Source organism: Homo sapiens, chromosome 14, assembly GCF_000001405.40.
Source record: "Homo sapiens chromosome 14, GRCh38.p14 Primary Assembly".
NCBI classification, from domain to species: Eukaryota; Metazoa; Chordata; class Mammalia; order Primates; family Hominidae; genus Homo; species Homo sapiens.
In genome coordinates, this window is record NC_000014.9 from 74,382,220 (window position 1) to 74,398,546 (window position 16,327).

The 16,327-nt window shown below is 44.7% G+C and overlaps 1 annotated feature.

Moving 5' to 3' along the window:
• Positions 12,969 to 13,469: an enhancer, noted in NCBI's record as "H3K4me1 hESC enhancer chr14:74861891-74862391 (GRCh37/hg19 assembly coordinates)". NCBI's record gives its function as "activates a minimal SCP1, AML or CMV promoter by ChIP-STARR-seq in naive H9 embryonic stem cells {active_cell/tissue: H9 hESC(naive)}" and the evidence as "EXISTENCE:reporter gene assay evidence [ECO:0000049][PMID:30033119]".

Consider the following 16,327-nt stretch of genomic DNA (forward strand, 5'->3'; position numbering starts at 1 on the left):
CACCCAGACTGAAGTTCAGTGACACAATCGTGGGTCACTGCAGCCTCAACCTCTTGGGCTCAAGTGATTCTCCCACCTCAGTCCCCCAAGTAACTGGGGCTAATTTTTTAGAGAGACAAGGTCTCACTATATTGCCCAAGCTAGTCTTGAGCTCCTTAGCTCAAGGCAATCCTCCCACCTCAGCCTCCTGAAGTGCTGGGATTACAAGCATGAGCCACCACACCTGGCCCACAGCTAAACTTAAGAAAGACTGGTAAGACTAAATATGAGGATATGGAGCAACTGGAACTGTCATACATTGTTGATGGGAAAGGCTTGGGAGTTTCTTTTTTTTTTTCCTTTTTTTTTTTTTGAGACAGAGTCTCGCTGTGTGCCCAGGCTGGAGTGCAGTAGCACGATCTCGGTTTACTGCAAGCTCTGCCTCCCGGGTTCATGCCATTCTCCTGCCTCAGCCTCCCGAGTAGCTGGGACTACAGGTGCCCGCCACCATGCCCGGCTAATTTTTTGTATTTTTAGTAGAGACGGGTTTTCACCCTGTTAGCCAGGATGGTCTCCATCTCCTGACCTCGTGATCCACCTGCCTCGGCCTCCCAAAGTGCTGGGATTACAGGTGTCAGCCACCGTGCCTGGCCCGGGAGTTTCTTAAAAAAACTAAATATATGCTTACCCTCTGACTCAATATTTTCACCTCTAGGTATTTACCTGAGAGAAAAGAAAATATATTTCCACAAAAAATATTGTATAAGAATGTTAATGGAAGCTTTTTTTTTTTTTTTTTAAGACCAAGTTTTGTTCTTGTCGCCCAGGCTGGCGTGCAACAGCATGATTTTGGCTCACTGCAACCTTCCCCTCTGGGTTCAAATAATTCTTCTTCCTCACTCTCTGGAGTAGCTGGGATTACAGGCATGCACCACCACGCCTGGCTAATTTTTGTATTTTTAGTAGGTGGGGTTTCATCCGTTGGCCGGGCTGGTTTCAACTCCTGAACTCAAGTTATACACCCACCTTGGCCTCCCAAAGTGCTGGGATTACAGGTGTGAGCCACTGCATCCAGCCCATGGAAGCTTTATTCCTAAAAACTCCAAACTGGAAACAACTCAAATGTTTATCAGTAAGAAAATGCTAAAACACTATTTTTATCTATACAAAGGACACTATTCATTAATAAAAAGAAATAAACTACTGATACATGTGACATGAATAAAACACTTCGCTGAACGAAAGAAGCCTAACATGAAACAGTTTGTACTACATACTTCCATTTCTATAAAGATCTAGAATAGGCAAATCTAATCTATGGTGGAAGATAAAAACCAGAAAAAGTGATTGCCTCTTAAAGGAATAAGGAAGGGATTGACAGGAAATGAGCAAAAGAGAACTTTCTGGAGTTATGGTAATGTTTTATATCTTGATAGGGATTTGATTTCCACAGGTGTGTGCAATTGTTAAAACTCAGCAAATGTACACTTAAGCAAATGTACATTTTGCAATTCATTATAATGTAAATTTTTTATTGAAAGGAAAAGAGGCTGGGCGCAGTGGCTCAGGCCTGTAATCCCAGCACTTTAGGAGACCAAGGCGGGAGGATCACCTGAGGTCAGGAGTTTGGGACCAGCCTGGCCAACATGATGAAACTCTGTCTCTACTAAAAATACAAAAAAATTAGCCAGGCGTGGTGTCAGGTGCCTGTAATCCCAGCTCCCAGCTATTTGGGAGGCTGAGGCTGGAGAATCTCTTGAACCTGGGAGGTGGAGTTGCAGTAAGCTGTGATTGCGCCACTGCACTCCATCCTGGGTGACAGAGAGAGACTCTGTCTCAAAGAAAAAAAAAAGGAAAACAAAACTATAACCAAATATTGAACTCTAGTTGATAATATGCATGATGAAATATTTAGGGAGAGTGGATAGATGTCTGTCATTTACTTTGAAATACATTTTAAAAATGAGGACGGAATGATAGATGGAGGAAGGATGATAGATGGATAGAGCAATAATGTCACTGAGAGAATCTAGGTGGGTGTTCGTTACAAAATTATTTCATCTTTGCTGCATGCTTAAAGTTTTTTTATTATATATTTTTTAATTTCTTTATTTTTGTAGACGGAATCTCACTCTGTTGCCCACCCAGGCTGGAGTGCAATGGCCCGATCTCAGCTCACGGCAACCTCCGCCTCTCGGTTTCAAGTGATTCTTCTGCCTCAGCCTCCTGAGTAGCTGGGATTACAGGCGTGCGCCACCATGCCCAGCTAATTTTTGAATTTTTAGTAGAGACGGGGTTTCACCATGTTGGTCGGGCTGGTCTCAAACTCCAGACCTTGTGATCTGCCTGCCTTGGCCTCCCAGAGTGCTGGGGTTACAGGCGTGAGCCACTGCTCCCAGCTTTTTTTATTATAAAATGTAGAGAAAAATGAGTGTTTTAATGAAGTCTCTCCCAAGAAGTATTGAGTCCTGCTTAAAATATGCCACACACTGCTTTGAATGTGTCCCAGAGATTCTGGTATGTTGTGTCTTTGTTCTCATTGGTTTCAAAGAACATCTTTATTTCTGCCTTCATTTCGTTATGTACCCAGTAGTCATTCAGGAGCAGGTTGTTCATATTCCATGTAGCTGAGCGGTTTTGAGTGAGTTTCTTAATCCTGAGTTCTAGTTTGATTGCTCTGTGGTCTGAGAGACTGTTTGTTATAATTTCTGTTCTTTTACATTTGCTGAGGAGTGCTTTACTTCCAACTATGTGGTCAATTTTGGAATAAGTGTGATGTGGTGCTGAGAAGAATGTATATTCTATTGATTTGGGGTAGAGAGTTCTGTAGATGTCTATTAGGTCTGCTTGGTGCAGAGCTGAGTTCAGTTCCTGGATATACTTGTTAACTTTCTGTCTCATGGATCTGTCTAATGTTGACAATGGGGTGTTAAAATCTCCCATTATTATTGTGTGGGAGTCTAAGTCTTTTTGTAGGTCTCTAAGGACTTGCTTTATGAATATGGGTGCTCCTGTATTGGGTGCATATATATTTAGGATAGTTAGCTCTTCTTGTTGAATTGATCCCTTTACCATTATGTAATGGCCTTCTTTGTCTCTTCTGATCTTTGTTGGTTTAAAGTCTGTTTTATCAGAGACTAGGATTGCAACCCCTGCTTTTTTTTTTGTTTTCCATTTGCTTGGTAGATCTTCCTCCATCCCTTTATTTTGAGCCTATGTGTGTCTCTGCACATGAGATGGGTCTCCTGAATACAGCACACTGATGGGTCTTGACTTTTTATCCAATTTGCTAGTCTGTCTCTTTTAATTGGAGCATTTAGCCCATTTACATTTAAGGTTAATATTGTTATGTGTGAATTTGATCCTGTCATTATTATGTTAGCTGGTTATTTTGCTCGTTAGTTGATGCAGTTTCTTCCTAGCATTGATGGTCTTTACAATTTGGCATGTTTTTGCAGTGGCTGGTACCGGTGATTCCTTTCCATGTTTAGTGCTTCCTCAAGGGTTGAGAACCACTGCCAAGGTTTTGGCTTAGTTGCAGGGCCCAACACAGTCTGTGGCACATAGTAGTTGCTCAAAAAATATAGCACATACGAATTAAATGGATAGCTGAACAGTCCAAGGAGTGGGTGAATATAAATGTATAAATTTCGGCCCTATGCAGGGCCCAACATAGTCTGTGGCACATACTAGGTGCTCAAAAAATACAGCAAATATGAATTAAATGGATAGCTGAACAGTCCAAGGAGTGGGTGAATATAAATGTATAAATTTCGGCCCTATGCAGGGCCCAACATAGTCTGTGGCACATACTAGGTGCTCAAAAAATACAGCAAATATGAATTAAATGGATAGCTGAACAGTCCAAGGAGTGGGTGAATATAAATGTATAAATTTTGGCCATTAATAATAATGATGCTAACAATATAACAAATAAAAACAATAAAGTAGGCATCACTGGTATTCAACTCAGTTTTGAGATGGGGAAGGAGGCAAGAAGAGAGGTCCTGGGGTGAAAGGCAGATTAACAGGATTAAAGGTGGGGACATAAGAGGCAGTGAGGCTCATTTTTTGGTTAGATGCAAGTGGGCTCTGTTCTGCCTCCCCAGAATCCCTAGGGCTGAGGTTGGAGAGGTGGATGGGGTGTCATAGGAAGGCCCAGTAAGCCTAGTGATGAGACAAGGGTTGAAATAGTCTAGAGTGAGTTGAGGGACTGGTCTTCCTGAAGCCCAGTGGACATTATGCTTGGATGAGGAGTCAAAGTCCCACTGCCTTCCATTCTGGAGAGCACTGAGCTTGGTGGAACTCAGAGAGCCTGGTGCAGACCCTGCTCTGTAGAGGATTCGTCAGCTGCATGGCTTTAGGTGGTCATTTCAGCTCTCTGGTGCTGACTTCCACCACTCATGAACTAGGGGCGATCATAACTGCCAGGCTTCCTTAGGGATTGCTGAGAAGATCAAAGAGAAAAACTTGTGGAAACATCTTTATGGAGGTGGAAAGTCCTAGACATTCACCCTGTCCTCAAAACCCTTCCCACCCCCAACCTAAACTTCTGGACCTCGGTTAAACCCCTTTCTCTGCAGGGCCTCAGCATCTGGCTGTAGGGTGATGGTGGCATAGGCTTTGTCTTTTTAGCTTCTCCCAAAACCTGACCCTCACCTCTGCTTGTTGAGAGCAGGAGTGGAAAGGAAGCAGTTATTTTGAGCCACCTTCTTAGTGTCTGGCACAGTAGGGATCACAGAGTTGAGGCTTAGACAAAGCTGTTTCTGGTGTCCAAGTTTCCAGAATGGCAGGGCAGGAATGGCAAGAGCCTGAAAAGAATAATGGGGAGGGTAAAGAAGGACTGGTTGGCAGCGTGGGCACTTGTGGGGCCATTTCCTGGGATCTTCCAGATAAAATACAGATAAATTTAAATCCAGATAATTTAAATTTCAGAATAACAATGATAAAATTTTTAGTGTAAGTATGTCCCAAATCCTGTCCTGTCCAAATGTGTGTCCTGTATTTTTGTTTGCTAAATTAGGCAACCTTATTATTGCTATTTGAGAATGTACTGGAAGTCCTAACTAGAATAATTAGGCAAGAAAAAGAAACAAAAAGCATCCAAATTGGAAAAGGAGGATAAAACTATCTCTGTTTGTAGATCACATGATTCTGTATCTAGAAAATGCCAAAGAATCTCCCCTAAAAAACCCCACTAGAGAGCTAATAAACAAATTCAGCAAAGTTGTAGAGTACAAGATTTATACACAAAAATCAGTTGTGTTTCCCTATACCAGCAATGAACAATCTGAAAAGGAAATTAAGAAAACAATTCCATTTACAGTAGCATCCAAAAGATAAAATACCTATAAATAAATTTAACCAAGGAGTGAAAGCCTTGCACATTGAAAACTACAAAACATTGCTGAAATAAATTAAAGAAGACTTAAATAAATGGAAGGACATCCCATGTTATTGATTGGAAGACTTAGTGTAGTTAAGATGGCAATACTCCCTAAAGTGAGCTACAAATTCAATGCAATCCCCATCAAAATCCAAGTAGCTTTTTTTTTTTTTTTGGCAGAAATGGAAAAGCTTATCCTCAGATTTTTATGGAATTGCAAGGGACCCTGAATAGTCACAATATTGAAAAGGAAAAACAACACTAGATAACTCACAGTCCCCAATTTCAAAACTTACTTCAAAACTACAGTAATCAAAATGATGTGGTACTGGGATAAATATGACATATAGACAGATGGAATAGAATTGAGATTCCAGAAGTAGACCTAGAATATCTATGGCCAGTTGATTTTTGACAAGGGTTGCAAGATCATTCAAAGGGGAAAGAATAAACTCTTTGACAAATGATGTTGGTACAACTGGATAACCACATGCAAAAGAATGGAGTGGACCCCTACCTTACTTCACATGTACAAAGTAACTAAAAATGGATCAACAATCTAAATATAAATGCTAAAACGATAAGCACAAAACAAAGGGGTACACCTTTATGACTTTAGATTTGCCAAAGAAGTCTTAGATTTGACACCAAAAGCATGAGCAACAACAACAAAAATAGGTTCACCAGACTTCATAAAAATTAAAAAGTTTTGCACATCTTAGGATGTTATCTACAAAAGGGAGAAAAGATTTGCAAAGTAGAGGAGTTTAATATTCAGACTAAGGACTCTTGCAACTCAACAACTTTGATCATTGCTGAGGAAGGAGAAGAGGGGGAAATGGGGAGCGATTGCTTAATGGCTAGGGGTGTTTTAGGGTGATGAAAAAGTTTTGGAACTAAAAAGAGGCAGTGATTGCACAACGCTGTGAATGCACAAAATACCACTGAATTAAAATGGTCAATTGTATGTTATGTTAATTCCACCTCAATTAAAAAATACATCTGGCTAGGCTGGGCACGGTGGCTCACGCCTGTAATTCCAGCACTTTGGGAGGCCGAGGCGGGCGGATCACTAGGTCAGGAGTTTGAGACCAGCCTGGCCAACATGGTGAAACCCTGTCTCTACAAAAAATACAAAAATTAGCTGGGCGTGGTGGCAGGCACCTGTAATCCCAGCTACTCGGGAGGCTGAGGCAGGATAATTGCTTGAACCAGGGAGGCCGTGGCTGCAGTGAGCCGAGATTGCACCACTGAACTCCAGCCTGGGTGACAGAAAGAGACTCTGTCTCAAAACAAACAAACAAACAAGAAACCATCTGGCAGCCACACCCACAGGGCTCCTCCCCAGCCCTGTGCTTCATTCTCCCCAGTCCACAATCTGGGACTTCTACCTTGGAACTATGGAGTAAGAGTCAACACTTACTTCCTAAGCAAAAGATAACATTCCTGTTAGGTGGGAGCATAGCCAAACATTCAACTACAGTGCCTACAAACCCTTCTCTGGGTCCTTAGGGGCTGCTGGAAACAGGACCATCCAGGGTCTCTTCCGTAATTCAATGATATTTCATTTATTTATTTATTTGAGACAGGGTCTTGCTCTGTCACCCAGGCTGGAGTGCAGTGGCACAAGCATGGCTCACTGCGGCCTCAACCTCTCGAGCTTAAGTAGTTCACCTACCTCAGCCTCCTGAGTAGCTGAGACTACAGGCACGTGGCACCATGCCCGGCTAATTTTTTTATTTTTGTAGAGAGGGGGTCTTGCTATGTTGCCCAGGCTGGTGTCCGACTCCTGGGCTCGAGCAATTCTCTCATCTCGGCCTCTCAAAATGCTAGGGTTACAGGTGTGAACCACTGAGCCTGGCCTCCTCATTCATTTATTAGATACCGCCTATGCAACAGATAAGGTCCTGGCTCTCAGGTTAAGTAAAATCTTGGTGGGAAAGGAGATGGGAACAACTGAAACACAAGCAAACTATAATAATATGCAACATTTAATTTGGATGTGTGTACTCAGTGGAAGACATAATTAACAGTGCCTGGAGGAGGGAGGCAGCTTCTGAATGGTGAAGAGGAGGAGGAAGAATTCCTGAGAGGGAAAGGCCAGCTTAGAGTCAAACACACTCAGAACAAAGGGAAGGAGAGAATTGGCTCTTGAGAAACAGCGGTGAGTGGGCAGAGGATGAGGCCAGAGCGGCTGGTGGGGCCTGACTGTGAAGGGCAGATGAGGATTTTCGGCCACATCCTGTAGGCCACAGTGAGCCGTGTAGTAGGTGTAACCTGGGGTGGCCCTCAGGGGCTCTGACCAGCCCTGAAGTTGTGTATAAAATTGTGTGTGCAGGGGTGCATTTTCCTCAGGGAGGGTCCTCAGCTGCTGTCAAATTCTCAAAGGGGTCTGGGGCCCCAAGAGGGTAAGAAGTCAGTTGTTAGCTGAGCTGGTTATTGCTGCTCTCTCCCGGCCTCCTGGGTTCCCCTCCTCTTCATCACTCAGTCCCAGGGGGACTCATCTCCGCTTCTCAGCATTGTGCTGTTTCCAGGTCACGTTTGCTCCCTGAGCCACCTGTTCTCCACCTGCCTTTATCCCATGCTGCCTGCCCAGGGCTTCCAGGAGCCACCCCGCGGCCCTTATCACCTGGGCCACCTCTGCATTTGTCATGGGTTGTTTAGCTCCCTTGTGAGAGTCTGTGGTTCTCCTCTCCATGGAGGACCACATGGATGGCCTCCCTCTCCTAACTGGCGGCAGTCTTGTTCCACCCCTCCCCTCTCCCGAAGCAGTGATCAGATGTCACCAATGAGTGATGAACAATGTCCCAGATGTCAAATCTGAAGTCACTTCAGGGTACCTCCTCCACCTCCTCCTCATTTTCTGAAAAGCTCCCCTCTCTTGACCCCCGTGACATTGCACCTGCATATCTGGAATCTCCTACCAACACCCCTGCTTTTCTGTTTCTCTTTCTGGCTTTTCCTTTCCTTTAAAATGATGAGTTTTAAAAAATAGGTAATGCATGCGCACGGGGAAAAAAAGGTCAAACAGAACAAAAGAGCATATAGTGAAAGCTACTTCTTCCTTTCCTGATTTCTTTCTTTCCTTCCTTCCTTCCTTCCTTCCTTCCTTCCTTCCTTCCTTCCCTCCCTCTTTTCTTTCTTTTTTTCTCTTCTCTTCTTTTTTCTTTCTTTCTTTCCCCCTTTCTTTCTTTCATCCTTCCTTCCTTCATTCCTTTCTTTCTTTCTTCTTCTTCTTTTTTTTTTTTTTGAGACAGAGTCTTGCTCTGTCACCCAGGCTGGAGTGGAGTGGTGTGATCTTGGCTCACTGCAACCTCCGCCTCCCAGGTTCAAGTGATTCTCCTGCCTCAGCCTCCTGAGTGGCTGGAATTATAGGCGTGTGCCACCACACCCAGCTAATTTTTGTATTTTTAGTAGAGATGTGGTTTTGCCATGTTGGCCAGGCTGGTCTCGAACTCCTGACCTCAGATGATCTGCCCTCCTCGGCCTCCCAGAGTGCTGGGATTACAGGCATGAGCCACTGCCCCCAGCCCCTTTCCTGATTTTCAATTACCTGAAATCTCTATTGTTACCATCCTCTGAAGTCCTTCCAGAACTGTCCTGTCCAGTATGGTGGCATGTGACTATGGAGCACTTGAAATGTGGCTAGTTTGAATTGAGATGTGTCGTAAGTGTAAAATATATACAGATTTCAAATACTTGGTACAAAAATATAGATACAAAGTAATTTAAAAAGATTGATTAAATGTTCAAACAATAATATTTTGGCTATATTGAGTTAAGTAAAATATATTAATATTAATTTCCCCTATTTTGTTTTATTCTTTAATGAGAATACTGGAAAATTTAAAATTACATAATTACAGACATGGCTTGCAATTGTGGCTTACATTATGATTTTATTGGACAGCACTGTTCTAGAGCTAGTCTTTGCATTTGTTAAGTATGTATGTATTCCTTGGGCAAAAACCACACAAATAGGATAGTACATAGACTTCTGTAAATTTATTTTTGCACTGAATTATCTGTCTCAGAGATTGTATCATGTTTTGCATATTTAAGCCTGCTTCATTCTTTTTAATGTCTACATAGCATTCCATTAGATGACTATAACAGCATTTATGCAGCCAGCCCTCTACTGATTGGCATTTAGGTTGTTTCCAATCTTTTTTTTTTTTTTTTTTTTCCGAGACAGGGTATGGCTCTATCACCCAGGCTGGAGTGCAGTGGTGTGATCTTGGTTCACTGCAGCCTCGACCTCCCGGGCTCAAGTGATCCTCCCATTTCATCCTCCTGAGTAGCTGGGACTACAGGCACATGCCACCATGCCAGGCTGATTTTTGTATTTGTTGTAGAGATGGTGTCTCGCTGTGTTGCCCAGACTGGTCTCAAACTCCTGAGCTCAAGTGATCCTCCCGCCTTGGCCTCCTAAAAAGCTGGGATTACAGACATGCACCATCTCGCCAGGCCTGTTTCCAATCTTTTAATGCTACCATAACACAAGGCTTCAGTGAGAATCCTTGAGCCTACATCTTTGGGCAGGTGGACAAGAGTATCTGCAGTATGACTTCCTAAAAATTGATTCATCACAAATACCTGTTCTTGGAATAGTGTTGAAGTCTTATTGGCTTATCTCTTTGTGTCCTGCAGTGCCCAGGCCAGTGCACCACGGATTATTTGTTGAACTGAAAACTCAGACTTGGAGAAGTTCTGAGCTGGAAAGGTCCTCAGAGTTCACAGTTGTTTATTTCTCAAACATTTTCTAAACTCCCATGGGCCTAGGCTGGGCATATGCTAGGCACAGGGGTTCACAGATGAACAGATGGGATTCTGCCTTCGAGGAGCTCACAGTAGAATAAGGAGACAGGCATGCAAACAAATGATTGAAATCAGTAGGTACTTTAATAAGGGTATATGTGAAACATAGTAGGGACATTTTATAGACAATGAAACCAAAGCCCATATGCCAAAGTGACTACTGTGTGATCACTGGTGTGGCTCCCTCTCCCTCTTTAGAATACCACCTTTTAGGAATTTTTTTTTTTTTTTGAGACAGGGTCTTGCTCTTTCACCCAGGCTGGAGTGCAGTGGCGTGGTCACAACATACTGCAGCCTCAACCTCCTCATCTCAAGGGATCCTCCCACCTCAGCCTCCCAAGTAGCTGGAACTACAGGCACACGTCACCACACCTGGCTATTTTTAAATTTTTTATAGAGACAAGATCTCAACATGTTGCCCAGGTTGGTCCCGAACTCCTAGGCTCAAGTGATCCTCCTGCCTCGGCCTCCCAGAGTGCTGGGATTACAGGTGTGAGCGACTGCGCCCAGCTAGACTTTCTGAAAGTTAGGTTCTATCCTATCTGTTTTTTTATCCTATCTGTGTTTTTATCCTATCTGTTTTTCTATCCTATCTGTGTTTTTATGTCCTTCATAAGCCTGAGCTCCCTTTCTCCTGCAGTCAGTATGCAGTAGTTACGGTGATGTCACAGGCACTGAGATTTGCATTTTCACCTGGTCTCATTTAAGTGCCCCATCAACCCCGTGAAGCAGGTTGTTATCACCTGAATCAGTGCATGCCCCGCCTTCGCCGACCACTGAGCTCTACCGCCTCTCCTCAGGGCTTTTGTCTGCTCTGCTCACCTGGTTCCTGGTCAGCAGGGCTGCTTGACAAGGTGTGACCAAGATACCAGCTGAGCACCGGGTGGTTACAGGTTTGTCCTCTAAATCCCAGTCTGGGCTCAGTTGCCAAATCCACCACTATTCACTGTGTGACCTCGAGCAGCTGCCGCATCTACAGAATGGTCATGACAGTCCCTATCTCAGAGAGCCTGAGGGTGAGGAGTGAAGATAAAGTGCACACAAGGCTGAGAATGGTGGCCCACTCTGAGCCACCCACAGAGGAGGCTGTGCTGGTGGGGCTGACCGCATTATTTTACCCAGAGCCATAGAATCAGGTCCTTGTAGGTCCTGATTCTACAAGCACTTCTCTTTCTATGATTTGTATTTTATAAGCTCTTGTCTACTAAACACATTTTTTTTTTTGAGACGGCGTCTCGCTGTGTCACCCAGGCTGGAGTGCAGTGGTGCGATCTCGGCTCACTGGAACCTCTGCCTCCCGGGTTCAAGCGATTCTCCTGCTTCAGCCTCCTGAGTAGCTGGGATTACAGGCGTGCCCACCACGCCTGGCTAATTTTTGTATTTTTAGTAGAGACAGGGTTTCACCACGTTGGTCAGGCTGGTCTTGAACCCCTGACCTTGTGATCTGCCTGCCTTGGCCTGCCAAAGTGCTGGGATTACAAGCGTGAGCCACTGTGCCCGGCACCAAACTCATCTTAGCCAGACAAAATGTAGGCAGATTTTGGATGAAAACATAGGGCATAGTCAAAACAAATTTTTCAAGTTTGTTTTTAGCCAAAATAAATTTTATGGTCTTATCACAGATTTGGGAAAAGCTTGTAAAAATAGCTCACAGCATTTATGGGTGAATGGATAAACAAATAGTGGTCTATCCAGACAATGGAATATTGTTCAGCCATAAAAAGAAATGAAGTGCTGATGCATGCTGTAATGCGGACGAACCTCAGAAACATTATGCAAAGGGAAAGAAGCCAGACATAAAAGGCCATGTATTGTATTTTTTCATTTATATGAAATATTCATAATAGGTAAATCCATAGAGACAGGACTCAGATTGGTGGTTTCCAAGGGCTTGGGCATGCGTGGGGATGGGGAGCACCTGCCTGCTGAGTGCAGGTTTCCTTTTGGGGTAACGACAGTGTTTTGAAACTAGATGGAGGTGGTGGTTGCACTACACTGTATATGAAATAAACACCACGGCATTATTCATTTTATGTTATGAGAATTTTACTTCAATTAAAAAAAATAGTTCATGGACCCCTTGCCCCCATTCTTCTTTTGATCACTCTTAGGGATCCTGATTAAGACCCCAGTTAGAAAGCACCAATCCTTTCACATTATGAGTGGGAGGCCAAAGCCCTGGGAGGTTGATGGAGGGCTCTGCAGGGGGTCACAGAGCTGGTTCCAGCTGGGTCTCATTCATTGAAGAGATCTTTACTGGGAACCCATGTGCCCATCCCTGTTCTAAGCCCCAAGGAGTCAGCCATGACTAAGACCTAGGAGTCTCTTTCTCGTGGAGTTTGCATTCCAAACAGGGGAAGGCTGACCAACAGACCGGTAAGCAAATGTCAGGAAGGAAGGGAGCTATGAAGAAAAATGAAACAGGTCAGGGGATAGGAGCAGGGTGGTTACTTAAGGCAGGCCTGTCTGGGATGGCCTGGAGGAGGTGATGTTGGAGTGAGCAATGCAGATATGGCAGACACTGGGAGAAGGCTGTTTCTGGAGGAAGGACCAGGACCGGCCAGTGCAAAAGCCCAGGCAGGGGCATGCTTGGTGTGCACAAGGACCAGCATAGAGGCCATCCCCACTGGCCTCACTTCTGCAGAAAAGAGATGCTTTCTGCTGTGGAGAACATAGTAGACTGTTTTATGCTTACCAGATGCTCAGTCAGTATTTAATTGATGCTTAATCATGGAAGGAAGTTGGGAGTCTGGGCAGAGCCTGGGCAGGGGCCGGAGCTGGCTGGTGGAAAGGGAGAGGGCAGCTCCCCATCCTACTCGGCCTGGCCCCTGGCTGGGGAGCTCTGAGGCATCCCAGGTAGACTCCTGGGAGCAGGGGCGAGGGAGGCAGGGAGTGTTCAAGTAGCACCAGGTCCAGCAGCTCTGCCAGGATGAGGATCCTTAATTGGCTTCTTGGAGTGTGGAATCCTCCACATCCCGCCCCTGGGAGATGGTGCAGCTGGAGAAGGCTGCTCATCACCCCTCTACCTGCAGGCTGTGGGAGTGTGAAAAGAGTGGATTTGGAGCCTGTAGGGGGCCTGGAGGGGGCTTTGAGTTAAGGGGGCCAGCTGTGTTGGGCAGAGGGCTGGTGAGTAATGAGATGTTTCCCTGCTCACATAACCAGACACAGCTCCTGCCCAGGTTGAGGTAAAGAAGAAAGTGAAGAATTATTTCAGGTAGGAGTGGAAGCTGGTCCCTGCACCTGAGTTTTTCTGCCATTTTCAGACTCTTCCTTACTGGAAGATGGGGTTTGAGGAGCAGAGGGTTAATCTGGAGACTGAAGACCTCGTAATGAATTCTAAGGCGCCCCACTTCCTTGCTAGTTGGGCAATTTAACTTACCTCTCCGAGCCTCAGTTTTATGGTCTATAAAATGTGGGCTAATTCAAAAAAGAATAAGCACAGTAGCTGGCATATGGTGGCACTTTGGAATCCAAGTCTAAAACTCTGAAGTCTCCTTTCATTGCCTGCTCGTGGTTTATCCAATGTAAGCAGGCAGCTATCCACAGGAAACCTCTGGCTCCAGCACATCCCTCCAGCTATCCTGAGCAACACACAGTTCCCCTGCATGGGCAGGGTGGCAAATGGCCTGTCTCCTGGGCAGAGGCCTGCACAGTGGGAAGGGTATGGCAGCCAGGACCTGCACTCATGCCACTGACACACATCTCTAGCTGGATACTGGCTGTCATCCCCAACTCAGGGACCAACCCCCTCCCCAGGTCCTGGTGGTCCTGTTTCCCAGGATCCCTGCTCCCTCTCTAGGTGTCTGTTCTGGGTCCCTATGGGATGTGGGTTCCTATGGCTCTGTCCTCTTCGTAGAAAACCAAAGGCTATTTCTGGTCATCACCATCCACTGGCTGGCTTCACGAGTGCTAGGCAGTTTTGCTGGCCTTCTTTAGGTTGCAGGGAGCGGCTATTCCTTAAAACACACATTCCTCTCTCCATGACCCTCACCCTGCCCAGTGTCATTTAGGAAGGGAATAGGAAAGAGGCAATGGGGGAAGTGAGGAGGGCAGAGAGAAACAGATCAGTGGCATCAGGCTTGAGGGTTGGGATGGGGTCATGACCAAGGTGCCTGAACTGTGGAGGAGGATGACCTGTGCTCAAATTCCCCTTGCTAGCTGGGTTTAGATTCCAACTTCCACCTATTCGCTGTGTGACAAAGGGCAAGTTACTTTACCTTTCTGGACCTCAGTTTCCTTATCCCTAAAGCAGGGATCTCAATAGAACCAGCCTCCTAGGGATATTCCAAGGGTTCACTGAGTAATATTTGTAAAGTGCTTAGAACAAGGTTTGGCACAGAGTAAATACTCTATATCTTTTTATTATGATGCTTCAATTTATGTAGTTGATTTTACGAGTCTTTGACAGTCCTTTTGTTTTTGTTTGCTTAAGCTGTCACCTACCTGGGCACAGGAGTTATAATGTGAGAAGTCAGACATTAGTCTGATACTCAGAGAAATAAACGCACAATTACAGCTGGAACCTGGGCTTTGAAGAAGGAGAACATGGGGCTCAAAGATGTTCAATCATGGGGATAGACCTGGCCAGGCTGGGGAGAAGAGGGCTTCCCAGAGGAAGTGCCTTTAGAACCAAGGCAGGAAGGATGAATAGGAGCTAATTAGTCCAAGAAGGAAAGGAAAAGTATTTCAGGCAGAAGAAGTTGCATATGCAAAGGCCCTGCAAGTGTGAAGGGCTGAAGGAAGGCAGACATGGTGAGGTGCAGGGAGCTTGGGTTGTGGTGTGAAGTGGCAGGGGCTCATAAGCAGGTTAGTTTGGTTTTTTATCTAAGAGAAATAGATGTCCTTTGAAAGCTTTAATCAAGGGAGGATGACTCGACCAAATTTGCCTTCAGGAAAATTCAATGTAGCTAAAAAGAGGCCAGGGAGGAGGCAGGGAGAACATTTCAGAGGGTTGCTTTTTTTTCCTCCCCGCATTAAAATCATCCTCGAAAAGAGACTGGGCAGATTTATAATAGCATTAGAATATTTAAAACATGTAATACATTTGTTTAACTTCAAACACATTTCAGCATTCTCAACATACAAAAAATAACAGAACATTACAAATCGTGTTTAAATACAGACGGTTCTTGAACTTTCATTGACGTGATGTCTCTTGCTTTGCTGATAATGAGGAGTTCTACAGTTTGTTTAAAAACAGTTTTCTGCTGGGCGTGGTGGCTCATGCCTATAATCCTAGCACTTTGAGAGGCCGAGGTGGGCAAAGTGGGTGGATCACTTGAGCCCAGGTGTTCGAGACCAGCCTGGGCAACATGACAAAACCCTGTCTCTACAAAAAAATACAAAAATTAGCCTGGCATGGTGGCAGGTGCCTGTAGTCCCAGCTACTCAGGAGGCTGAGGTGGGAGGATCACCTGAGTCCAGGGGGTTAAAGCTGCAGTGAGTCGAGGTCACGCCACTGCACTCCAGCCTGGGTAACAGAGTGAGACCCTGTTTCAAAAAAAAAAAAAAAAGTTTAAAAATTACCACACTTAACTAAAACAAACAAACTAAACCCCCCAAACACTTCTCATGCCGGCTGACCCTCTTTGTCCACAGCTAAGAATGGCAGCAGAATGCTCCGTCACTATATGCAGAAACAAGACAACTTGAAGCTAAATGGAAGCCCTGCAGAGTCAACAGGTCCAGATTCACAGTGCACGCCCTGAGCTACAGCCCCTCCAAAAGGCATCTTCCCCCAGAGCCTCAATGCCAAGCAAGGAGCCGTCAAGAGTCTGCCTTGGTTGTTTTGTTCTTTTTACAAACCGTACAGATATACAATTGATAACTCAGGATTTCTAGTCAATAACCAGATAGTTAACACCACCTTATTAAAAAAAAAAAAGCCAGAAACATCTTTAAATGCCTTGTCACTCCAATAGCAAAGCGCACAGAATGAGAACACAAGAGTGCCTTTTCATTTTAAAAATGTTTGGAAATATGTACAACTTTGATAGCATTTCAGAGTGCACCAGACACCACTGCCGCTTCATGTATACCACTGACAATTTCTAGAGCACTTTGAGAGGCTACAATATGATCATGATCAAATTTTGTAATTAAACCTGATAAGGGCAACAGACACTACTTCTCAAATAAGAGATG